At 47.1% G+C, this 24262-nt stretch overlaps 1 protein-coding gene across 2 annotated transcripts in view, besides 8 other annotated features; it reads left to right on the plus strand.

The window, feature by feature from the left end:
* CHCHD6 (coiled-coil-helix-coiled-coil-helix domain containing 6) overlaps positions 1-24262 on the plus strand; it is a 256181-nt gene that overhangs the window by 34464 nt on the left and 197455 nt on the right. The gene's annotated exons all lie outside the window — the stretch shown is intronic.
* Positions 7643-8342: an enhancer, noted in NCBI's record as "H3K27ac-H3K4me1 hESC enhancer chr3:126465189-126465888 (GRCh37/hg19 assembly coordinates)". NCBI's record gives its function as "activates a minimal SCP1, AML or CMV promoter by ChIP-STARR-seq in naive H9 embryonic stem cells {active_cell/tissue: H9 hESC(naive)}" and the evidence as "EXISTENCE:reporter gene assay evidence [ECO:0000049][PMID:30033119]".
* Positions 7803-8097: an enhancer, noted in NCBI's record as "tiled region #10778; HepG2 Activating DNase matched - State 8:EnhW, and K562 Activating DNase unmatched - State 8:EnhW". NCBI's record gives its function as "activates a minimal TATA promoter and a strong SV40 promoter by Sharpr-MPRA in HepG2 and K562 cells {active_cell/tissue: HepG2 | K562}" and the evidence as "EXISTENCE:reporter gene assay evidence [ECO:0000049][PMID:27701403]".
* Positions 11837-12474: an enhancer, noted in NCBI's record as "H3K27ac-H3K4me1 hESC enhancer chr3:126469383-126470020 (GRCh37/hg19 assembly coordinates)". NCBI's record gives its function as "activates a minimal SCP1, AML or CMV promoter by ChIP-STARR-seq in primed H9 embryonic stem cells {active_cell/tissue: H9 hESC(primed)}" and the evidence as "EXISTENCE:reporter gene assay evidence [ECO:0000049][PMID:30033119]".
* Positions 13113-13750: an enhancer, noted in NCBI's record as "H3K27ac hESC enhancer chr3:126470659-126471296 (GRCh37/hg19 assembly coordinates)". NCBI's record gives its function as "activates a minimal SCP1, AML or CMV promoter by ChIP-STARR-seq in naive H9 embryonic stem cells {active_cell/tissue: H9 hESC(naive)}" and the evidence as "EXISTENCE:reporter gene assay evidence [ECO:0000049][PMID:30033119]".
* Positions 13113-13930: a biological region, named in NCBI's record as "Sharpr-MPRA regulatory regions 1012 and 11425".
* Positions 13503-13797: an enhancer, noted in NCBI's record as "tiled region #11425; K562 Activating non-DNase unmatched - State 12:CtcfO, and HepG2 Activating DNase matched - State 12:CtcfO". NCBI's record gives its function as "activates a minimal TATA promoter and a strong SV40 promoter by Sharpr-MPRA in K562 cells, with weaker activation in HepG2 cells {active_cell/tissue: HepG2 | K562}" and the evidence as "EXISTENCE:reporter gene assay evidence [ECO:0000049][PMID:27701403]".
* Positions 13563-13857: an enhancer, noted in NCBI's record as "tiled region #1012; K562 Activating DNase unmatched - State 12:CtcfO, and HepG2 Activating DNase unmatched - State 8:EnhW". NCBI's record gives its function as "activates a minimal TATA promoter and a strong SV40 promoter by Sharpr-MPRA in K562 cells, with weaker activation in HepG2 cells {active_cell/tissue: HepG2 | K562}" and the evidence as "EXISTENCE:reporter gene assay evidence [ECO:0000049][PMID:27701403]".
* Positions 13831-13930: an enhancer, noted in NCBI's record as "active region_20442". NCBI's record gives its function as "activates an Ori minimal core promoter by ATAC-STARR-seq in GM12878 lymphoblastoid cells {active_cell/tissue: GM12878}" and the evidence as "EXISTENCE:reporter gene assay evidence [ECO:0000049][PMID:35858748]".

A 24262-nucleotide genomic window follows, 5' to 3' on the forward strand; every position in this document is an offset into this window, starting at 1 on the left:
GCCCCATTGCTAATAGTTGGAAGCAAGCACCCATCACAGCCTTCTATAGAATGGGTGACAATTCAAAGGTCTGACCCTTTTCAAGCAATAAAACAAAACAAAACAAAGTTTAAAAAGGCTTTCATTATAATGATATTTGGGAGTCAACTAAAAAGATGTTTGTCTCCTAGTCAGAGTCTTACAGACTTTAGGTTTATCTTTCTTAGAACAAGGGAGAGAGTGGGCTTTGGGAATTCTGGTCAGAGGTTGTGAAGTATACTACCTGACATTCAGCCAAGGCAGTCCTGATATCTGGGTCTAGCTGTTTGGCATGGCTGTTTTAGAAGTTTAGTGATCTGGAGACTCTGGTGGCCTTGTCCCTTATACCTCCTCCAGTGTGAGTGTTATGTGGAGATCTGAAAATCCTGTGGAGATCTGCATTGCCTGTGCTCAGATGACTGGTAAAAGGCATAAATGGGAGAAAAAAATCATGACATCCATAGCCCCTTTCTTTACTTCCTTGTTTTACTTTTTCTTCTCTTCTTTTGTCTACTGAGCTTAGTCTTTTGATTAGATCAGAGGTTGACAAACATTTTCTATAAAGAGCCAGATAGTAAATATTTTACTCTTTGCAGTCACATGTGGTCTTTGCCACATATTCTTTGTTGTTGTTGTTGTTACAACCCTAAAAAATGTAAAAACCATACTTAGCTCAGAGGCCATACAAAAAGAGACTGTGTACTGGATTTGACTGGTGGGCAAAAAACCTCTCCTGGACTAGACTATGCAGCTCCAGAGATTTTAACTTTTTAAGTCTCTCTGAGTACCCAGGTGTCTCAAGAAACTAGCGGGTGGGAGCACTGGTGGTGGTCCAAGTTGCTTAGTGGCTATTATTTCTTGTGAGAGGTTTCTTGTCTTGGTATTTGACAACTTCAGTCTTCTGATATGTAAAATGAGGATTTTTCTGGAGACAGCCCAGTGGGCTGTATGGGAAAAGTCATTAACTTCTACTTTAATTCCTGGTTCTTTTTTCATTTGGCTTTTTTTTAATAGTTTCTGTTTCTCTGCTGAAATACCCCATCTCTTTACATATGTTGCCCACCTGCAGATCCTCTAAACATAGTCTCGATTTGACAGTTCCAACACCTTGGTCACCTCTGGGTTTGGTTCTGTTGACTATTTTCTCTCTTGATACTGGGTCACATTTGCTTGCAGTTTTATGTGCTTTGTAGTTTTTGATTGGTGCTGGTCATCATATGCAGGAGACCAGTAGAGACTGAGGAAAATAGTGTTTATGCCCAGAAATGGCCATTCTCCTTCTTTTGACAGGCTATTAGTGTGGGAGGTTGAGTAGCCTAGTTGAGTAGAATGTGGGCTGTAGTGTTGCCTCAGCTTCAAACTATTAATATGATATGTGAGGGTGGGATCAAACCCATTCTGTTTGTCAGGGCTTAGGACCTGAGTACCTGAAGGGTTCATCTAAGTTTTCCTGACTGTCCACCAGACTATTTTATAGGCCCTACTTGTCTGTGATTGAGGGTCCTTCCTTGTCCCTCCTGCAGCTGCAGACTACTGTTGCTTGGTGGTCAGTGGAAGGCCTGGAGTGCCTATGGGCTTTCTCTCCATTCTGCTGCACTGCTCACAGACTTCAGCAGGCCCTGTGCACTGGTGCCTTGGGTGAATGTGTGGAGGGAAGGTGTCTCATTCAGTTCTCCTGCTTTATCTTTAAGAAAATAATTAAGAAAATTCTCATAACTGATACCAGAGTTAGTGCACCCTGTTTGTTGTCATCACCTTTAGAGCACCCTTCACACCCCAAAGAAAATGAAAAGGCCAAAGTGATGGGACTGACCTCACTCCTGCTCTGAATGTCCAGGCCCACATGGCTGCTAACGTACAGGGCTAATCCTTCCATAGAATATGCAGGGGTCCACACACTGGGTAGAAAGGGCTGTGCCACACATCTGCCCATCTGCATGCCCCATTCACCTTCACATTTGCTCAGAGAACAAGGGTGGCAGGTTATAGTTTAGAGAATTGGAATAATTAGTTGAAAGGGACACTGTGAGGCCTCCTGGGTTCCCACTTAACCTGGCCTTGGTGGTTATATGATGTGACAAATTTTGGAGAAAGGAAAACTGTAGATAAGCTTACATGAAAACTGGCTTAATCCTTTTAGTTGATCACACACCAAAAATGAACTTTGATTTATTTCCTGTATATTTTATCTAAACTGAGGGTGGAGGAAGGCTGTAGAAACCAGACATGGTGTTCGGTCATGGGATTGAGAGTCTGGCATCTGTGTCCAGGGATGGCCCTCTGTTCATCACTGCTGCAGTAGTGATGCCTGCCTTGGCCGGGTTGTGGTGAGGACCAAATGAGGAACATATATGTACAGTGCCTGGTGTCACAAAATGTTAGAAATGTTATCCTAGAGTGGTGTATTGGACAAACACGGGCTGTGAGGCTGCAGCTGTGTTCAGACGGCCTCCATCACTGTGGTTCCTTCGTGTTTCTATGATGCTGCCTTACCTGCAAGGTGAGGGGCAGGCGGTGCTGTGCGCCGTTGGGAAAGTTAGGATTTACTCTTCCTCCTTCACTTCCACCCATGTCTCCATGACAGAATTGATGTGAACTCATTCTTAAAACAAATCAGTGATTTTTTTTTTTTTTAAAGGATGTGGAGTCAAGAAACAAGTGAGGTTCATGTAGCTTCTGACTGGTTCTCTGGAGAGAGAAGCTGAAGTCATGTGGGGGTCCTAGAAACACTTTATTGATGGCCAGATGCCATGGAGCATCCTAGAGGTATGGTGTGGGTGTGGAATGAGGCTGCTCCTACTCAACCTGCTGTTGAAAGACCCTTTTGCCTGTGTCGCCTGGCTCTCTGTTCATCTCACTGCCTGACTTCCACACCTGGCTGTGCATCTGGATCACCTGGGAACTTGTTAAAAATGCAGATATTTGGATCCGATACTGAAACAACTGGATAAGACTCTTGGATGCTGTGATCCTGGAATATGTATTTCTAACAGCCTCCCATGTGATTCTGGTGCAGCAAGCCCAAAGCTGGTGCCTGGACCAATGCCGGGAGCCATTGACCCCAGAGTGTTTTTTGGCCCTTTTTGCAGTCTAGTCACCCCAGGGATGTGAAGTGTTCCTGCCAGGGATGTGGCTCCCTGTGGTCCTCAGGCCAGGAGGCTGTACTGTTTGAAAAGTGTACCAGGTGATTCTGATCGCTTCCCCTGCTTTGTCTCCCTCTCCCTGATGCAGCTCCTGCCTAGATGAATAGCTTTGTTGGGCTTATTGACCTCTAAGAGAAACAGATGCTCTTTTCTCTGCCAGGGTCTGCTAGAGAAGAGAATCTGCTGTCTGTGTTACCACTCCCTTGGTGAGGGATCCAGGCCATCTGGGTTCAGCGTTTTAGGGGATAGTAGTAAGACCTCTGATCCCAAATCCAAAGGGATGGCTGTGGGATGCAGGTGATACCGAGTGGCACTCACTGCATTCAGCAATAGCTCAGCTTATGTGAGAACCCAAAGCCTCAATTCTTTGCAGCAGCGGTAGCCACAGCCCAGGTCATACTGGAGGCATGCAGCAGAAGCGAAAGAAACCTTCTCAAGGGCTTGTGGGACTCTCAGGAGGGCTGCTGCTGGTCTGGTTACTACTTACTGCTGCCAGGTGGGCCCAATAGACCTGTGGGCTGAGCTTCCGGTATCTCCCCTAAGAAAACTGTTGTGTTCTTGTTTCCTGTCCACTTCATTAGGTGCATTGTGATGGTATCCTTGGTATTATGATTTGAATATTTGTCCCCTTCAAAACTCATGTGGAAATTTAATCCCCAGTGTGGCAGTATTGAGAGGTGATTGGGTCATGAGGGCTCTGCCATGATGAATGGATTGAATCCAGTTGTAAATTCATGAGTTGATGGATTAAGGAGTTACCATGAGAGCGGGACTGGCAACTTTGTAGGAAAAGGAAGGGAAACCTGAGAGAGCACACTCAGCCCCCTCACCACTTGATGCCATGCACCACCTCAGGACTTCTCAGAGAGTCCCAGCTAGCAAGAAGGTTCCCATCAGGTGTAGCCCCATGACTTGGACTTCTCAGCCTCTAGAACTATGAGAAATAAATTCTTTTTCTTTATCAATGACCCAGTTTCAGATCCTCTGTTATAAGCAAGAGAAAATGGACTAAGATATTTGGGGTGGAAGAAATCCTGTTTTTCCCTCAACTGTTTCATACATTTCTAACCATCAGATAGGTGGTGGTCACCCTGGTAGTGGGGAGAAGGACTAGGGGGAAGATGTGGGGTTGGGTGGAGAGGTGCCTGGGGGAGGGTGTTCATCAGGACAAGCTGGCCTGTGTGGTGTCATTGAGCAAGGAGAAGGTGAAACGCAGTCTCTAGCTGTTTTGAACCCTATGGGGAGCTTGTGGACTCCTCCTCTTTAAAGAAAGCTGTTACTCTGTGGACTGCTCAGATTCAAGTGTGGGGATTTCAGAATCTCGCTGTTCTAGAATGGCCCTGCTGTAGGAAGGGGGAGCCCAACATTTTTTGAGTAGCAGGAGATGTGCATGTGTATTCTTTGTTTAAGAAGCTGGAAGGACACGTGGGTTTTGCAACCTGGGCTTATTTGGATTTTGTGGAGCCTCCCCCATTACCAAATCACAGGTCTGCGGATGCCTTCAGTTTTCTTTTCTCTGGCTATGGTGCCTGGCTCAGGCGACCTCTGCTGTGTGCTGACAGAAGCTGGACATCCTCATTAGCTGCTAACTTTGTTAGGCAAATGGCTGATTGCGGTTCCATTCCTGGTGTCACTGCTTCTAATTAGCAGATCGCATGTCTCTGAAAATGTCTGTTAGCACCAGGGATGACTAAAGAGGCTGACAGCTGGGGCTGGGGGCTGGAGAAACTGTGCAGAAGTGCTTTCTCTTCAGCCTCTTGAGGGTCCAGGCTGCCGACCTCAGCTAGGCTCCTTGGCCTCTGAGTGCCCACTGGAGCCCAAGGGAACAGAGCAGCAGGGTTCCTTGAAAATTGCACCAACTGGAGGGGTGATCTGAGCCATCTGAGAGTGGCATTGGAGCAGCAGGTGACACCGTCCCTGACTTCCTACTTTGTTCTTGAGAGAAGTCCAGGCCAGTCTGAGAGTTTTGGGGTTTCTTGTTTTGAACAGAGGTCTTACGTGGTCATATGTGAACCTAATACTGTAGGGAAACCTGATTGGATCGGTGCCATCCCTCCTGGCTCGCATCAGATGGTATGCGCTGGCAGTGAGGGCACAGGTAGTCAGAGGAAGTAGCACCACCCCTTCTGCTGCCATGCTTGCTGTACCCCTGCTCCTCTTCCTTCGGGTCAGTGCCCACCAGCCCTGCCACTCTTCTGTGTGTGGATCAAGTGGGGCAGCCCTTACAGCCCTAGGACAACCTGACAGCAGTATATTTTCCTTTTCTCTCCTGCCAGAGTGAAATTGGGCTGGTGCCTTCCCACTTCTATGCTTGCCTCTAGGATGCCAGTAGGGCTGGGGAGAGGGGAGGGTCTTGGTTATTTTAAGTCTATTTATGCAATTTATTCACATGGTTTTTGGGGAGCTACCATTCTGCTTTTTCCTTTTTGTGGAAAAATGTTTTCAATTTGTCAAGCCGATTGTGTTTGCCCTCTTGGGGAGATGCCATTGCTGGCTACTGGCAAGGTATAGAATCGAAAAGGGTTATTTGGCTGAGAAACATCAACAAGTGTTTGCCGGAGAAAAGTCCGATTCTTTCCCTTACCTTTGTCTACTTGGTGGGTGAGCCAGGGCCCTATCTCCTGTGTGTTGGCTATGAGCTGAGTGCACTTGGGTAGACCAATACATGCACCAGCTAGGAGGAGCTTTCGCTGTGAGTAATGGAAGCCCAGTTGGCAGTGGCTTAAAGTGGAAGTGTATTCTTCCCATGAACAAGACACCAGGGGCAGCCATCCCAGGTGGTTATGGTAGCTTCGTGCCTCAGAGGGATCCAATCACTTCCTGTATTTTTTTTTTCTCCCCGAGACAGAGTCTCATTCTGACACCCAGGCTGGAGTGCAGTGGTGCGATCTCAGCTCACTGCAACCTCCGCCTCCTGGGTTCAAGTGATTCTCCTGCCTCAGCCTCCCCAGTAGCTGGGACTACCGGCGTGCACCACCACACCTGGCTAATTTTTATATTTTTAGTAGAGACAGGGTTTCACCATGTTGGCCAGGCTGGGACCTCCTGTCTTTTTGACTGGCAGTCCTCAGTGCAGCTCTCCTCGTGGTGGCAGAGGGCTGCTGTGCCTTCAGCCATCACATCAATTTTCCAGTCAGGAAGAAGGAAGGGCTGAGAGCCTTGTTCTAGTGAAGTTTTATTATTTTATATGGGTGTGGGAGGGACACTCTTCCCTGGGATTCTCGTTGGCAGAACTGTGTCGCAGGGCCACCTCTAGCTGCAAAAGGGGGGCTGGGATAGTGAGCAGTTTTACCTGGACACGTGACTGCCCCAAACAAAATCAGGATTATGTTATTAAAGAAGAGGGAAGAGGGACTGGATGCTGGTCAGGTGGCGAGGGCACTTTCCATAGCCTTGTGGCTTAGCGAAGCCCAGCGTCCGGACTCTGTTACACCTGGGCTCAGATGCCCCAGGTACTGTCTCTGTGACCCTGGACCCATTATTTAACCAAGCCTCAGTTTCCTCACATGTCAAATGGCACACCTCTCCTGGAGTTGTTAGCATGCTTTCATAATATGTGAGCAAAGCCTTCAGCACATGGTCTGGCAGATGGAAGGTGGTCAATACATTCTTGCCTTTCTGTTATGCCAAATTCCCCCAAAATGCACTAGGAGAGGAGCTACACGGGTGACTAATAGAGTCTAAAGGATAGAAGTGGGTAGTGATTTTCCACCATGGCAAAAAAGGGACAGCGAACAGAGTGCTTTTGAGTGCAGGAATGCTGGCTGTTACCAGGTTGCTAATGTTCTAACCCTCCACCTGGGTTGGCTTCAGGCTTCGGAGGCCCCTGAGTACACCCCTCCCCACCAGGTAGCCTTAATTCTAAAACAGACCTTCCAGATCCCACTAGTTGTTCTTTCCTAACTCTTAAGGTTAATTTGTGCTTGGAGAGGAGATACAGCTATTCAGGGCTGCTGTCTCTGGGCTTGCATTCTTGCTGATGCCAGGACTGGCTTGTTTCACTGACCTTGGGCTTGTGAGGCTAAGTGGGTAGGGAACCCTGGGTGCTTGGCTTCCTGCCCACTTGGGTGTGTTCTTAGCAGAGTCAAGTCACTCCCTGCCCCCTACACTTGGTGGCATCTCCTCCTTCCTTATCAAATCTTGGCGAGGCTTCTCTGGAGGATTCTGGTACTCTGTTCTTGGCTAGGACTTGGGTGGCTGGGCAGGGTGGCTTAGGGGTATTGCTGAGGAGAGTAGAGGTATGTGGCAAAGCCTTTTGCATGACACGTATCAGGTAACAAAGCTCTGAGGCCGCTGGGACTAGACACACTGGGAGTGACAGTCTCTGTGGAGTGGCTTCTACTGGGAGCCTTTGCCTCTGCGCTTGTGCCCACAGGGAAGGGAGCACCTGCACATCAGCCTCGCACAGCGGGCATGGCCTGGGCAGCCTTGCTGGGAAAGTCATGACTTTCCTCTTCTTGATGCAGACTCCCTGCTCTCTCTCCTCTTCCCCTGTTGATTGGGTGCCTTCCCTAACACATACAGCCTCTGGTGTTTTTTCTGCTTGTGTGTAGTGGTTCCCAGGAGGCCTGGCAGCCCTGCCTTGCCTTGGGCCTGCTCCTTCTCTACATCTCCCCTGGCAGCAGTGGCGCTTGGTGTGCGAGTGCATCCAGGGCAGGATCCGCCCAAGAGCCTCTGTTCTTGGGGCTCCCAGGTGTCAGACAATGTTGAACACGGGGCCCATTCTCTAGCTGACTGGTTGGACATGATGTCGGCACCTTATCTTCGTGCTGACACACACTGGACATTAATAGAAATACACCGCCATGTCACATGTGTGGAATTTCAAGCAGCCGCGAGGCGGGTGCTTTCGATAGCCTATTGTGTGCTTAACCTCTTCCAAAGAGGTTTTTGATGAGAAATATGTAGGGCTGTTAACTCCAGGCAGCCTGGCATGTGGCAGGTTTTCCTTTTTTTTCCTTTCCCCTTCTTGATTGTTTGCAGTGCTTCCTTAATCTTCACTCTGGAGGAGTGGGCTTTGCCACTTCAGGACATTTTATTTAATCCGTGGCTGCACAGGCAGCGCTCTGCTGGCACCAAGGACAGCATGGTTAGCCTGGGTGCTGTGGGGCTGTGAGGTGGCCCGGGAGTACTGGGGGAGCCTCTCCTCAGCTGAGTTGTCTGGCCCTGGGTTTTTTGCCCCGATCTCAGCTTTCATGGCTGTGTACAGGGCTTTTGGGACTACTGGTTGCTTCTCTTCCGAGACAGCCTAAGCTTTTGGAGCTGTCTTTGTTTTTCTCTTCATCTCGTCTCCTTTCTCCCTCTCGGGAGCTGCTGGTGATGCCTCAGTTTCTCTAACTGAGGTCTGAAGCCCAGGAAAAGATCTTTACTCAGATGATCTGGGTCTTGGTGTGCTCTTTGTAATTGCGTGTGACTTTGCAGTTATCCTAAGAGAGACTTGTATTTGCAGCTCATTTCTACTGCTTATCTGGGATATCTCCATACACGTTCGGTTTTCCCAGCTGTAAAGTGAGATGATAGTGCAACTCATAAGGTTAGTATGGGGTTTCAGTGAGATAAAATTAAGTGCCTAGGAGAATGTCTAGACTGCAGTAAGCTCTCAACAGAAATTATGTACCTAAACATTTTCTTAGTGAGGCTAAAGGTGAAAAGCATTCATGGCCACTGGCTTCTGGATCATGTTTCTCAGTCTTCCTACTAGTAAGGCTGGTCTTTAACCTTATTCCAATTGCCATTTTACTTCTGATGGCACTTTGTATATCAGAAATCTGCTTTACCTCCATCTTGGATTTCATCATGACTCAATTCTCATGGCCCATCAGGTCTCGTGGTGTGACATGTCTCCCTGCCCACAGGGTCTGTACTGACAGCTAGATATATCCAGCACCCTCCTTCCCTTCATTTCCAGAGACTTCCTCCATGCCCATGTTGCTGGATTCCAGCCTTGGGTGAACCCCACCAACTGCTTTCTCTGCATCTGGGCCTGGGCTCCTGGGGGCCGCTAGAGGCTGGATGGTTGGGTTCTCATGCAGTTCGTGCTCTCTGACCTCCTGGGCGTTACCCTCTCTGCTGCTGCCTTGCCGTCCTCTTGCTGCGCTCCAGCAGCACCCTCCTGTGCCCTCCCCACATCCACTTGTGAGTTCTCTCCATCCTGGCCTCACCGCCCTCTCCTCCTTGCTTCCTCTCCTCTTAAAAGGGGCCTCTCTGCCAGTGACCTGGATCCTGGATCTAGCTCCTCCCCTCCTCTTAGAGCCTGCTCTGTTACTTCCCCACTTTCTCCTCAGATATCCCTGTCTAAAACCAATAGACCTTTCCCAAGCAGCTACTCTGGTTGCCTCCTGGCTCTTCCCTTTCCTTGCCATAGAGTGTCTTGGAATCACAGTGGTAGTCATAATCTTTCTTCTCAAACTCATTACAATTTGGCGTGATCTCAGAAATTACCATGATTGGCTGGGTGCAGTGGCTCACGCCTGTAATCCCAGCACTTTGGGAAGCCAAGGCGGATGGATCACCTGAGGTCAGGAATTCGAGACCAGCCTGGGCAACATGGTGAAACCCCATCTCTACTAAAAATACAAAAATTAGCTGGGCGTGGTGGTGGGCGCTGGTAATCTCAGCCACTTGGGAGGTTGAGATAGGAGACTTGCTTGAACCCGGGAGGCGGAGGTGGCGGTGAGCCGAGATTGTGCCACTGCACTCTAGCCTGGGCAACAGAGTGAGACTACATCTCCAAAAAAAAAAAAAAAAAGAAAGAAAAGAAATTACCATGATCTTCTTTCCAACAAATCTGATAACTTTCCTTCTTCACATTTCCTTCAAGGGGTATTTATCACCAAGTAGCTACTCTTCCTTTAAATGTCCCTTCTGTGAGCCTCTGTGCCTTAGCTATCCTGCCCCCTTTCTGCATGCTCCATCCATCCATTCAAGACATGTTCCCTGAGCAGGGCTGCAGCCCGGGCTGGGCTGGCCATCCAGAAGTGACCCGATCCTGACCCTACTGGAGCCCCTGGTCCAGTTGGAGAAACAGATGTCAAACAAGTAACTATTACCAGCTGAGATAAGCATACTGCTGCAGAGAGAGAGAGAGTGATAGTGATGCCCTAATTTAGATTGAGGTCAGCTAATGCTTCTCTGAGGAGTGGACATGTGAGCCGCGACCTAGAGGGTAAGTGGGAAGGAGACAAAGAATGAGGAGGGGGAGCTCTGCAGTTTGTGGGGAGTGTGCCCCGGCCTGGGTGGTAGAGAGTTCAGTGAGTGAATGCAGCTGCCAGCAAGAAGGGTGTGAACAGTGGGTGGGGACTCATGGGCATGGCAGGAAACTGGGTTTGAGAAGCAGCAGGGAGCATGTGAAAGGTTTTCATAGAGATTCTGGGGAAGATGGCAGAGTGGGCAAGAGCAGAGGCAGGGGAATCAACAGGACTCCCAAGGGCCCTTCAGAGAGATCATGGTGACCCAGACAAAGGACAGTGACAGTATCTGGGGGAAGAATTATGTGGAGAAAGAAATGACACATTTGGTGAGGATGGGGGCTGTGGGGTGAGAAAGAAGGAGGTGTTGAGAATGACTCTTGGGTTTCTGGCCTGAGCCAGATGCCCTTTTTTGACAAGGAGATGCCTAGACTCCTCTCTGGCCTCCCTACCTCTGGGTCCTTCTATCAGTTATGGTCTAGATTGAGCTGCTGTAGCAGAGAGGCCCCCAGATACAGTAGCATAAATAAGAAAGACATGTTTCTCTTTCATGGAACTGTCTAAAGGTAGTCCAAGACTGGTGGGAGCTCTGCCAGCCTCAGCAGCCTTGGGTGCAAACTGTTTGCTCCATTTCTCTTCAGTTCCTGACCAGTGCGAAGGGGACACGGGCCATGTGAGTGCATTCCCGTTTGGCTCTTTTATGGGCAAGACCAGAACTGGGCTCCATCATTTCTGGACATACCCTGTTGGCCAGAAGATAGTCACATGACCACTGCTAGTGACAGGTTGTTTAGGAAATGTCTAGACAGTGTAGCTGGATGCCCAGCCAAAGCTCCATACCAAAGAATGGCTATGGGGGGACAATTGGAAATCCACCACTGTTGTTTGTTGCCTCCTCATTACCTCTTGAAAACACCCACATCCACCTTGGCCCGACGTCTGTTCAGGACCTCTGTTCTCTAGATGCTGGTTGGCCACACCTTTCCTGGTGCCTTCAGGGACCTCAAACTGAGGACATCCAGTACAGAACCTGTCTTCTCTCCATACCTGGGCTTGAATCATTTACAAAACATTGCGCAATTGGGATAGCTGCTCAGTTCTCCATAGTTAGCAGTGGAGGGGTCCTCGAGAAGGCACAATGCTGTCAATTCTGCCCAGACATTCATGGGGGTTGCTTCTGGGGACCAAGCAGGGAATATCCCACAGAGTCGTCTTTGACTATTTTCTCCTAGTGCTCATCTGGCCTTCCAGGCAGCTGACCTCAGGGCTTCCACTGAGACCCCAGATGTGCATGTCTCTGTTTGGAAGATGATCTGTTAAGATGCCACCCATGGCAAAGCAGACAGCTCTTCCCCTGGCTGGCTGTCCAAAGTATGGCCCTGGCCAGACCTCAGATGGGGGCAGTGTTTTCTACCAGATCAGACAGAATCGGAGAGAAGTGCTCCAGAGTTGGCGACTCCCTCCTGGGAATTGCTTCAGGATAAGGACTGAGATGGAGGTCAAGCCAGCGTGGCCTTTGGTGCTAGAGGGTCTGCTAGGGGCAGGCCTTGGTTGGGCATGGCTGCCTCTAGGCCTGAGTCTTGAGTGCCTGGATACCCCTAGCATGTGAGGCAAGTTCCCAGAGCTTTCTCCCAAGCCTCCCTGTAAATGAGCAGACCCACCTAGCTTTAATGCTAATTCCTTTTGCAATGAGCCTGAACTTCCTTGTTTCCCAGTTAAAGCCAGCCCATTAACACTGCCCCATCTGTCACCATAAATGGAAAGTTTTTCTAACAGGTGGGCAGGCAGTTCTCCCATGCTAATGAGGAATCGATGAAATTCCTCCAGGAACTGACATCATGGCTATGGGCCCTGCCTTTGCTGTCTCCACAAGAAGGCACAGCTGAGCAAGGGCAGTTGGTGCCCCGTGCTGACCCCAGCACAACATCTTGACCTCTTGAGGATCTGGAAGGGTAGGAGGGAGAGGAACGGTGGTCTAAGGCTTCTCATCTTTCTTGCTCTCTGGCTTTCCCTGGAGTCACCACCGGTAGGGCTGAAAAGGAATGTATGTTTTTCTTTTGTGTTCAGGCCTTGCCGGGCCTCTGGGGGACTGTTATTTTTTTTTTTTCTCTGGGCCTCTGGTTGCACTTCTTTGAAGGCAGTTCTTTTTCTCACTAATAAGAATTTGCCACCATGTGTGGTAGCTCATGCCTGTAATTCCAGCACTTTGGGAGGCAGAGGTGGGCCGATTGCTTGAGGCCAGAAGTTCGAGACCAGCCTGGGCAACATGGCAAAACCCTGTCTCTACAAAAAATACAAAAATTAGCCAGGCGTGATGGTGTACACCTGTGGTCCCAGCTACTGGGGAAGCTGAGGCACGAGAATTGCTTGAGCCTTGGAGGTCGAGGTTGCAGTGAGCCGAGATCATGTCACACTGCACTCTAGCCTAGGTGACAGAGTGAGACCCTGTCTCAAAAAAAAAAAAAAAAAAAAAGCGCCTGCATTGCCCTAACTTGATTTTTATCTTATCCTCTAGGGTAGCCCAGATTCTGCTCCTTTGCTGGGGCCCTCTAGCCAGAGCAGACCTGGGTTTTTAGGGTTTTAGAGTGTGAGTTTTTTATTTATTCTTCTTTTGTTATGTCTAGCAGCTAGGATTGGAGGCTGCCGCAGCATGGTGTGAATTCAGGAGCCGGGTTGCCTGGGGTCGAATCCTGCTTCCCAGTTGTGCTCCCTGAGCAGGGCACTGAATCCTCTGTTGTCCCTGCTGGTGATCCTGCCTCCTCCCTGGATAGTCATAAGACTTCTTGAGATAAGGGACAAGCTTAGAGCAGCACCAGGTGCACAGCACATGGAATGTGCCTGTACTGCCCTCTGAGGTTTACCAGTTATGCCCCTCCAAAGCCTTGTACCCTGTCCACCTCTGGGACACGGCCTCATGCATAGTAAAATTCACTCATCTAATGGCCGTTTAAAAATCACAGCTTTTAGGCCAGAGTCTTAGGATGAGGCCAGAGCTTAGAACCTGTGTGTGTGAGTAGGGGCACTCTAGGACTAGCATTTTGAAATTGGCATTCCTGTCCCACGCATATCCTGTGCTTCACTGGGGACAGGCTCTGGGTGCAGGAGCTGTTTGGGCTTAGAAAAGGTGGGGAAGAAGGCCAGGCTCTGAGAATGCAGCTCACTCCTTCCTATTTTTCATTTGTCACTGGTCCCTGGGAAACGGTTTTCTCCAGCAGTTTTGGTTGTTGCCACAGCCAGAGAGAACCCCACTGTGCCTTGTGAATGAAGTCCTGGAACTGTTGGCAGGACTCTGGTCACAGCAGCCCCTCTTCTGGGATCCGGTCTCTTCCTGTGGTGTGTGAGCGGAGCCCACTAGGTGGCAGGCCTGGGCCACTTGTTGGCTGGAAGAACAGGCGTGCTGGGAGAAGGCCTTGGGCAGGGTGGGGAGAAGGCCCCTTCCCCCGATGTCATCCTCTGAGGGCCTGTAACCTGGTAGCTTTGAGACTGATTAAATCTAGCTGAGGAGGCTGAAAGGCCCTCTACCCAAGGCCTGATCTTTCATCTCCTGCCCTCTTTTTGTTGGGAGACCTGGCTTTTTAGTGTTATCTGACCTCCCTTTGTTGTGGCTGCCCTGGGGGACAGGTTGACCAGGTTTGTACTGCCCTGTGGGGACTTAGCATCCCGTTCGTTCTCCCTGCCCCTTTAGCGCGGCTTGCTGAGGAAGGGCCCGCTTTTCTCTCACCCTGTTCTCCTCCTCATCCAGAAAGTTACTGATGGCTTGGCTTGGATCCAGAAAAATGTAAAGAAGGAGCAGTTGGGATTAGATGAGGAAGGAGAAATATTGGGGTTTTATGATGGGCTGGGCTGGGGCATTGACTCCTCAACCCCAGCTACTTTGTTCCTAGACCTCGTAAGTCACATTGTTTGTCATTGCCAGGTACCCGAGGTTAAGGCCAAATTAAGAACTGTGTCTGTGGACTGCTTCCCCAGCTGGCAGAGGGGCGGGGGATAGGAGGATTCCTTGCACTAGTCCTTCTCTTGGTAGCTGGTGGCACCCTTCAAGCGCCTTTTCCTTGGCTGCTTTTTGTAAAACAAGCAGATTCTGACTTTCTTGGGGGCGGATGGACTGTCACACGATTTTGGCAGCCAAGGGGATTTTTTCAGGGCCCAGGGAAGGCACATGGAGCAAACAGCTAACATATCAGTGGCTTGGACTTCCCATGGCAAGCAGCCGTTGCATGAAGGAACCTCAAGTTGGCATCTGGATATGGTCATGCTTGCTTGTTTCTGTGAAGAAGTCAAGGTTCGGCAGCAGGAGCTGTGCCGTCCTTTTGCCCACCTGGAGGCTGAGGAGGAGGGGCACTGAGGCACTCGTAGCTGGGTGCAGATCATTCCAAAGACATTCCAGGAGCATGCTGCAGCCCGCCTGCATGCCTGCCATAGCTGCGGCTTGTAGACCGGCCTTGGGGTGGAGTTCTCTGTAAACATTGGACGGGGCCTCTGTAGAAGTGGCATCAGCAGAGAGTTTGTCTCAACCTTATTGGGACCTTGGCTAGCATTCTCTTCCCAGATAAAGATCAGTGTCCTGCCTCTCTTCTTGCTTCTCTTCATCTGCCCTTGCCCCTGTCTCTCTCTCTGGTGTACAGGCGCATTGCCCAGAGTTTCGTGGGCTGCCTTTCTGCAGCAGTGGGTGAAGAGAGGGCCCACGGGTTTGGTTCTTCCTGCTCTCTGGGCTGCAGTGCTCCAGCACGAGTCTGGGTGGCAGTGGGCACCAAGGGCTGTGGTGGGCACATGCTGAGCCTTGCTGGAAGTAGTACTACCTGAGAGGTACCAGCACGTGGCCTGGAGAAGCTCAGCAGTACCTGCTTTTCCTGAGAGGGGTGGAGAGGAAAGGGATTGCCAGGCTTGAGTGTTTATTGGGAAGGTGGTGTATAAATTCCATGTGGAGGCGGGGGATCCTGTTAGAATTATTCACATGCTTCCTTAGAGTCCCAGCAGCATTGACATCCCTGTTACCCTGATCTGTAATCTCTGGTTTGTCCACATTAGTCCATAAAATAGTCATAGCAGTTAGAGCTGCAGTTCTTTGGATCACAGTCTGAACTGCCTTGAGAGAAGGTAGCAGGTAGTAGAAAAGGTTAAAAGAATCTCATCTGTGTTACTGAAACAAGTTGTGTGGCCTTGGTTAAGTGTCTCTGGGCATCACTTTCCCCATCCGTAATACAGGGACAGCAATATTGACTTCACAGGGTTGTTGCAAGGATCAAGTGTAAACATCTTCAGAGTGCCTAGCTCAGTGCTTCACCTGCCATAGGTCCTAGAAAGCAATCATTCCTTCCAAGAGATGGTGCCAGCAGCTGGCTCTGTCAGCATATACTGCCCTTCAGCCCCTAAGCCATGTACCTAGCCCTTTGGGATCATGCAAATCTCCCTGTGGACATCTGTGCCAGAACACCCAGTGGCACCCTTTGTGGCTGAGCTCTTTCTAAGGTACCGGCTATTGGCAGAGGAGCAAGCTGGGGTAAGGAGGCGAGCATGTCCAGGAACATTCTTTCTTTTCCTCTCCAAAGCAGGCTGCCTCTAACAGCTCGGCTTCCGAAGTGAAAATCCTGTGTGCTCCTAATTGGTTTTCAGGGGAGATTGATTTTTGCCAGTGTAACTGCTGCTAGGAACCCTGATGTCTCTCTCCTTAGGGATCACGTCCCTCCAGATGAATTTTGTTTTTAGTCCCCATCGAATCCACTTGCCACCTTTTCTAGCAGGACCTGTTTAGGAGCCCTGGAGATGAAATGGTAGGCACCTTTGGTGCTTTGGCCTTTGGGAGGCTGTCTCTCAGAACGTCTCCAGGCTAAGAAGCTGATGGGCAGGAAGGGCAGTGGCTGCAAGGAGGGAGTGTGGCTGCTGCCAGTCTCCTGGGTCTGGCATCTTCCCATTGGGGGCAATGAGTTGTCATATTCTAAAATCCTGATGAAGTGGGGAGTGTGGAGAGAATCCAAGCTCCTCGAGTACCTGAAGAACGATGGCCTGGAAAAGAGGAGGCCAGCTGTGTTCTGGCTCTAGCGAGGGCAGAGGAAAGTGGATTGGGCATAAGCAGTGCCAGCCAAGAACATGAGGAGGGAGAAGGGTTCAAAGAAATCAGAGTTGAGAACTCTCTTCAGGACCTGTCCTGGATGGCAGGCAGCAGCTCTGTCTTCAGTCGGGAGGAGAGGTACCAGGAGGGATCAACAGCTGGGAATGGGTTTTTGAGGTTTCTGTGTCCATCTAGCTCAGCCCTGTCACTGTATAGGGCAGCCCAAGGCCCAGGGTGAGGCTAGGTGGCCTGTCCAAGAACCCAAGCGAATGCCCACATCTGCAAGTCCCTGGGCATGTGTCTTGGGGCTCTGGGTAACATCCCTGGCTGGAGGGTCATCTCTGAGGCTCTGCAGCACAGCAGGTATGAGGAAGTGTCTTCCACACTGTTTCTTGAAATCCTGTCATTTCACCAGGCTTCCCAGAGAGTCTGCAATATATCTGTATTTTAGTCACTGTAGCTCTCTTTTTGGCAGCCCGATTATTTAGGCCTGACAGGTAGGCACAACTGTCTCATTAAATGCAGATATATTTGTGTGACTTAAAAAAATAGAACATTCTATTAGTCTAAAAAAAGATACCAGTAGCTCCCCTTTTATTCATAAACTCAATATATCAAAATTTGTGGTCATTAAATGTATGAGATGGGAATGAAGTCAAGGCTTCTACCTTCTTATTGTGAAATATCCAGGTGTTGGTGGCACTGTTGTCTATGTGTGTGTGTACATCTGTGTGTGCATGTGTGTGTGTGTGTGTGTGTGTGTGTGTGTAGACACAGACATTCCTTATGCCTGGTCCTGGATCAGGTGCTTTGAGTAGGTTTTCTCATTTGATTCTCACAGTGCCCCTTTAGGTAGGGGCAGTGTTGACCCTTTTTGCAGATGACTGTGAGGCTCTGGGAGGTTAGTAAACTGTCCAGGGCCGTGCAGTGGGTCTGTGCAGGGCTCGGAGAGAATCCCTGTTGCAGCAGCTGGTCTGTCTGTAGGTACTGGTGCTAGAGAGCCTGATGGACATTGCAGCTGGAACACAGGACCGAGTTTCCCACTGTGGTCGTGATTCTTCACCAACCCCTCTGCCCACCCCTACCTCGGACCCATAGCTTAGAATCTGGGGCTGGGGAAGGTAGAGAGAGGAAATAGAGATGGCAGAAGCCTCTTGGGTGATTCTGTTAAATACACCCACTATTGAGAATCAATAGTTTTTGTAAAAGGAGAAAGATGAACATTATTAAAACGCTTCTCCTTTGTCTCCAATAGAGCTGCCTGGGGAGCCACAGGCTGCTGGAGAGCCTGGCCTCCTGAAGGGAGGGTGTCCACTTGTTTCTCACCCCAGCTGGACCATGGAGAGCTTTTTCCATTCTGATGTACATGCCATATGCTGTAAGGCAGGGGGGAAGTGGAATGTGTAGCTCACCAGTGTTTTTCAGGATTGCCTCCCTTTATAAATCCGGGTCTCCCTACTCTGTCATACCCACACCATAGGCTGGTGGTCCTGGATAACCTTGAGCAAATTATAAACACTCTGTGGCCGCAGTTTCCTCAGTTGTAGTATCAAGCAGCCTCACAGGGCATGAGAACTAAATGGGAAATCATTCATTTACCTATTCACTCAACAGGTATTTATTGAAGATTCTGTGCACCATGCTCTGTTCCAGGCATTGGGGATACAGCAGAACAGAACAAAGCTCTTACCCTTTAGCACTTGCATACTAGTTGTATGGAATGTAAGGATGGAGAGATAGTAAACAAGTAGATAATAGGTCAGTGGTAAGTATGAGTGGTTAACCTTAGTCTGGTTATCCACTTGTGTCTTGTTAATTAAGGCAAGAATCACATCATGTATGTTTGTTTTCACCTGTATCCTTGTGCACTTGTAAATCAACTGGTGGTATTACAGATTTCTACCTCTTCCTCCTTTCTTTTTTAGCATAGGGAAGAAAGCCTGAACAACCACACGCGTATTTGTTTTTCTTGATAAAATCGCAGGTTGTGTAGGTTGAGCCTCCTAAATCTAAAAATCTGCAGTCTAGAATGCTCCCAAATTCAAAACTTTGCAAGTGCTGACATGACACTCAAAGGAAATGCTCATTGGAGCATTTTGGATTTTGGGTTTTCAGATATGGGATGTTCAACCTAAGTATAGTGCAAATATTCAAAAATCACAAAAAATTCAAAGTCTGAAACACTTTGGTCTCATGCATTTCAGGTAAGGGAAACTGACCCTGTACTTGGGGACTTTGTCACCCTATCTGGAAGAAGTCTAGGGAAAAGTCCTTAACAACACTAAAGCAGTGATGAGGTGGTGGTGGGGCAGGGGGGCTCAAAAGGAAAAGGGAAAATATTGCTCTGGAAAGACAACTTTGAAAGTAAAGGGCTTTGTTTATGGTGTATAGATCATTGGGAAAGTAGAGAAAGTGAACACAGACTTCCGCAGCAAGCTCAAACTAGTGCCAGGAGGCATTTTGCAAAGATTGAAGAATAGGACACACCACTTTTGCTTAGTGCATAGATATCTTGAGGTAGGTACCATGAGGTGGTACAGGTTAGAAATCTAAGCCAGTTTTAAGAAAACTGATGTTAAGCAAACTTAATACCTTCTGGACAAGTAGGCCACAGAAGCGAGTAAGAAATTGTAAGAAAACACAGCAGGGATTGGTGAGCACCTACGTACCACAGAGCTCTGGGAGTATGAGCCCAGGGGTGCCCAGCTGCCGACAGGGGTATCTTTGTGAATTTTTGGGTGTCAGCAACTAATTCAGACTTTAAAAAAGAAGAGGGAGGAGAAAGAGGAAGAAAAGGAAGAAACTGGTATGGTATAAACAAAACAAATCTGAAAGCTCAATGTGGCCCAGTGCCCTACCAGATTATAAACTGGTTTGGATGAACCCACTCTCAGGTCTTTTAGTGGAAGGCAGGTTTTTGGTAAGTTTTTGAGCTGGAATTTGGGACCAGATGAACTCTTGGGCAAGCCCTCTGTGGCCCGATGATAACCTTCAGTTTGCATCTGTGAAACAGGCCACTGCCAGCTGCTCCATGTCTGTGGGGAGCTTTGAAATCTTGATTAAAAGGCCCCAGCTAAATAGAGAAGATGCTTCTGGTGTATTGACAATCTTTCTGTGGCCATCAGCGCCCATCAGCAGGTGCTGCCCTCAGCGTCCCTTCCAGCCTGTAGCTGTGTCTGCTATTTTTAGCTCTTCTGCAACTCCATTAACCATATCCACCTCCTCATGCCACTTGTCTGTATGTTTAATTATGTAAATGGCATTACAAATCACAGTGGTGTTGAACTACATCTCATTTCTCACAGCAAATCAAAGCATGTTACACTGTGTCTTTTTGGCCATTCTTTCAATCTGAAGGTAGACACGGTAGAGGATGATTGCTTTCTTCTTGTGAGGAAGATGAGTTGGGAAAATGGATGTTTTGGTAAAAGTGATTTCATGGGATGCATGTGGGATCTCACTAAGCGGCTGACTTTTGTTCTTTTAACTTAAGATAATGGGTTTTGTGTCTATTAAGCCAGTTATTTGCTGTCCCATTTTTAGCAATTGGCTTTAATTCTCAAGCCACTCTCAAGTTTGTAGGTGAGCAAGGAGATGTGTGCAGTCTTTGAACTATAGGAGGAGGACGAATGGAGCCAGTAAGACTTTCCTTTGCCAGGTCACTTGTAGGAGGGATGGGTCTGAGACCGCCCTGTGTCCTCCTCTCTCATTACCTCCAGAATGTGTTCTTTTAGAAAGCCACCCTTTCTGTCTACCCTGCGTCACTTATGTTGTAATAGAAGCTCATTTCCTTTTGACTGGTGTTCAATAAAGAGTAAATGGTCAGTACCCTTCCTGGAATAAGTCTTCACTTTTTGTGCTCTGCTTTGGATCGCATCTGTGGGCCCTGTGTGCTTTCTCATTCTCTGCTACCTCTTGCTGTCAGCTCACCAGCGTGGTCAGGTCTGCCTGTTCTCGCCAGTCCAGCCCTGCGGCCTCCTGCAGCCCTGCCACTTTCTACCAGCAGCTCTTATCTCTCATTGCCTGTTCATTTGTGGTGTTCTTGTAATCCAGTGGTTAGCCCTACTACTCTTCTGAAATGATTTACTCAGATGCTTTCCTGCCTTCCAAAGCCAGAGTGTTCTTCAGGCCTCACTCTACCTGTATTGTTATTGAGTCATGTAAGAGTTACTTGGAGATATTGTAATTTCATCCATAAATACCTGAATATGCATCTCATCTCCTTAAGAACAAGAACATTCTCCTGTCTCACCACAATAAGATGATTGTACTTTCTACCTCATACATAGGCTACATTCAGTTTTCCTTGTCCCAATCAAGTCTTTTGTAGTGGTCATTTGAAATTCCAAGATTCAGTCAAGGACATGCATTTCTTATAGTTGCTGTGTCTCTTGTGTGCTTTAATCTAGTAGAAGAGTTTTCCCAGGCCTTATTTAGTCTTTTATGACATTGATATTGAAGAACCCAGCTACACTGTCTCTATAAAACCACTTGGATTTTTCTGATCTTTTCCTCATGATGAGGTTCAGGTTAAATGGTTTGGTCAAATAGGCGCTACCGGGTGATTTTTTGCTCTCCTCACTGTATTATATCAGGAGATACATGATGGCAGCTCCTGTCGCTCTTGGCACCATTAAATTTGATTACTTGGTTAAGGTGGTTTATACCACATTTTGCTATGGTAAAGGTACTGTTAGTCTGTTCTTGCATTACTGTGAAGAAATATCTGAGGCTGGGTAGTTTATAAAGAAGAGGTTTAATTGGCTTAGGTTTCTGAAGGCTGTACAGGAAGCATGGCACTAGCATCTGCTCGCTTTTGGAGAGGCCTCAGGGAGCTTTTACTCATGGTGGGAAGGCAAAGGGGGAATAGGCGTCTCACATGGTGAGAACAGGAGCAAGGACTGGGGAGGTGCCACATACTTAAAACAACTAGATCTCTTGAAAACTTGCTCACTGTGGTGAGGACAGCACCAAGCCATGAAGGATCTGCCCCATGACCTAAACACCTCCCATCAGGCCCCACCTCCAACACTGGGGATTACATTTCAACATGAGATTTGGGTGGGGACAAATACCCAAACTATATCAGGTACCTGTTCCTTTTTGAAATTAGTAAGTAATCTGTGGGGTGATGCTTTGCAAGTGTGTGGGATATCCTGTTTCCAGCCTTTCGTCCAACAATTTTCTGCCCATTGATGATTCTTGATTTGTTTTTTCAGTTCTTCTATTGTGGTAAAATATATATAAAATAAAATTTGCCATTTAAGTCATTTTTAAGTATACAATTCATTGGCTTTAATTATAGTCACAATGTTGTGCAACCATCACCACTCTCCTTTTCCGGAACTTTTTCATCATTCCAAACTGAAACTGTACCCATCAAACAAAAATTCCCCCTTTCCCATATCTTTGGTCCTGTCAACTACTCCATTCTACTCTGTCTCTATGAATTTCACTACTCTAGGGACCTTATATAAGTGGAATCATAACAGTATTTGTCCTTTTGTAACTGGCTTATTTCACTTAACATAATACCTTCAAGGTTTATCCGTGTTATAGCATGTGTCAGAATTTCTTTCCTTTTTAAAGCTAAACAATAGTCCATTGTATGGATAGGCCACATTTATTCATCTGTTGATGGGCACTTGAGTTGTTTCTACCTTTTGGCTATTGTGAGTAATGCTGCTGTGAACAAGAGAGTGCAAATATCTCTTCAAGACCCTGCTTTCAATTCTTTTTTTTTTCTCATTTGGAGGCAGGTCTTGCCCTGTCACCCAGGCTGGGGTGCAGTGGCACAATCATAGCTCACTGTAACCTCAAACTCCTGTGCTCAAGTGATCCTCCTGCCTCAGCCTCCTGAGTAGCTGGGACTACAGCTGTGCACCACCATGCCCATCTAATAAAAAATAATTTGTAGAGAGAGGATCTTGCTGTGTTGCCCAGGCTGGTCTCAACCTCCTGGCAAGCGATCCTCCTGCCTTGGCCTCCCAAAGCGTTAGGATTATAGGCATGAGCCACTGTGCCTTGCCAATATATATATACGCACACACCCCCATAAGTAAAATTGTTGGATCATGGATTAATTTTGTTTTTAATATTTTAAGGAACTGCCTTACTGTTTTCTATAGCAGCTGCACCATTTTACATTCTTACCAGTTTCTCCACATCTTGGAGATGAGAGGTCCAGCTTCTCCACATCTTTGTCTCTGTCTCCATCTTCACATGGCATTCTTCCCTCTGTGTCTGTCTCTGTGTCCAGATTTTCCTCTTCAAAGGACACCAATTATATGACATTTAGGGCCCACCATAATACAGTATAACTTCATTTTAACTAATTACATCTGTAAAGAATGTAATTATCTATTTCCAATCAAGCTCACATTCTGCACATCATAGCTAACTCCAGCCTCCAATGGCTGGGCTCAAGCAGTCCTCCTTCCTCAGTTTCCCAAGTATCTGGGACTATAGGCATGCACCACCATGCCTGGCTAATTTTTTTATTTTTTAATAGGGACAGGGTCTTGCTATGTTGACCAGTCTGGTCTCAAACTATTGGCTTTAAGTGATTCTCCTGCCTTGGCCTCCTAAAGGGCTGGGATTACAAGTGTGAGCCACCGCACCCAGTCCTGTTAATTCTTCTTTAAATGTTTGGTAGAATTCACTACTGAAGCCATCTGGTTCTGGACTTTTCCTTGTTGGGAGGTTTTTGATTACTGACTTTGATTACTCTTGTTAAAGTCTTTTGAAATGTTCTATTTATTCTTGAGTTAGTTTAGGTAATTTGTGTGTTTCTAAGAATTAGTCTTTTTCGTCCAGGTTATCCAATTTGTTGGCATATATTTGTTTATAATGCTCCTTATGTCCTTTTTATTTCTGTAGAGTCATTAGTAATGTTCCTATTTTTATTTCTTATTTTAGGTATTTGTATTTGCTATCTTTTTCTTTGTCAGTCTTGCTAAAGGCTTGTCAATTTTGTTGATCTTTTAAAAGAACCAACTTTTGACTTCATTGATTATCTTTTGTTTTTCTATTCTCTGCTTCATTTATCTCCACTCTAATAATCTTTATTATTTCCTTCCTTTTGCCAGCTTTGGGTTTAGTTTACTCTTTTTCTAGTTCTTTAAGTTATAAACTTAGGTTATTAGTTTGAGATCTTTCTTGTAATGTAAAGATGTATGCTGTAAATTTCCCCTTGAGCACTGCTTTCCTTCTATCCCGTAAGTTTTGGTATGTTGTGTTTTTGTTTTCATCCATTTCAAGTTATATCCTAATTTCCTTTTCTGTTTTCTTCTTTGATAAATTGGTTGTTGAGTATGTGATTTCCACAATATTTGTGAATTTTTCAGTTTTCTTTCTCATTGATTTCTACCTTCATTCCATTGTGGTTGGAGAAGATACTTCTTATGATTTCTGTCTTCTAAATTTGTTGAAGCTTGTTTTGTGCCCAATATATGGTCTATGGGGAGTGTTCTACATATGTCTATTAAGTCTCATTGGTTTATAGTATTGTTCAAGTCCTCTGTTTTCTTATTAATCTGTCAAATTGTTGTGTTTATTATTGAGAATAGGGTATTGAAATCTTGAACTTTTAGAACTATTTGTCCCTTTTATTTTATGAACGTTTGCTTCCTATACTTTGGAGCTCTGTTTTTCAGTGCATGTATATTTATACTTGATATATCTTCTTGATGAATTGACCCTTTTATTAACGTATATCCTTTTTTGTTTCTTGTGACTATTTTGTACTTAAAGTCTACTTTATTTTGCATATTATTATAGCCACCCAGCTCTTTTAGTTATTTTGCATACTTTCAGTTCCAACCTATGTGCCTTTGGATCTAATGTAATTTTCTTGTAGACAGTTT

The sequence above is a fragment of the Homo sapiens genome, chromosome 3, assembly GCF_000001405.40.
Source record: "Homo sapiens chromosome 3, GRCh38.p14 Primary Assembly".
Lineage (NCBI taxonomy): Eukaryota > Metazoa > Chordata > Mammalia > Primates > Hominidae > Homo > Homo sapiens.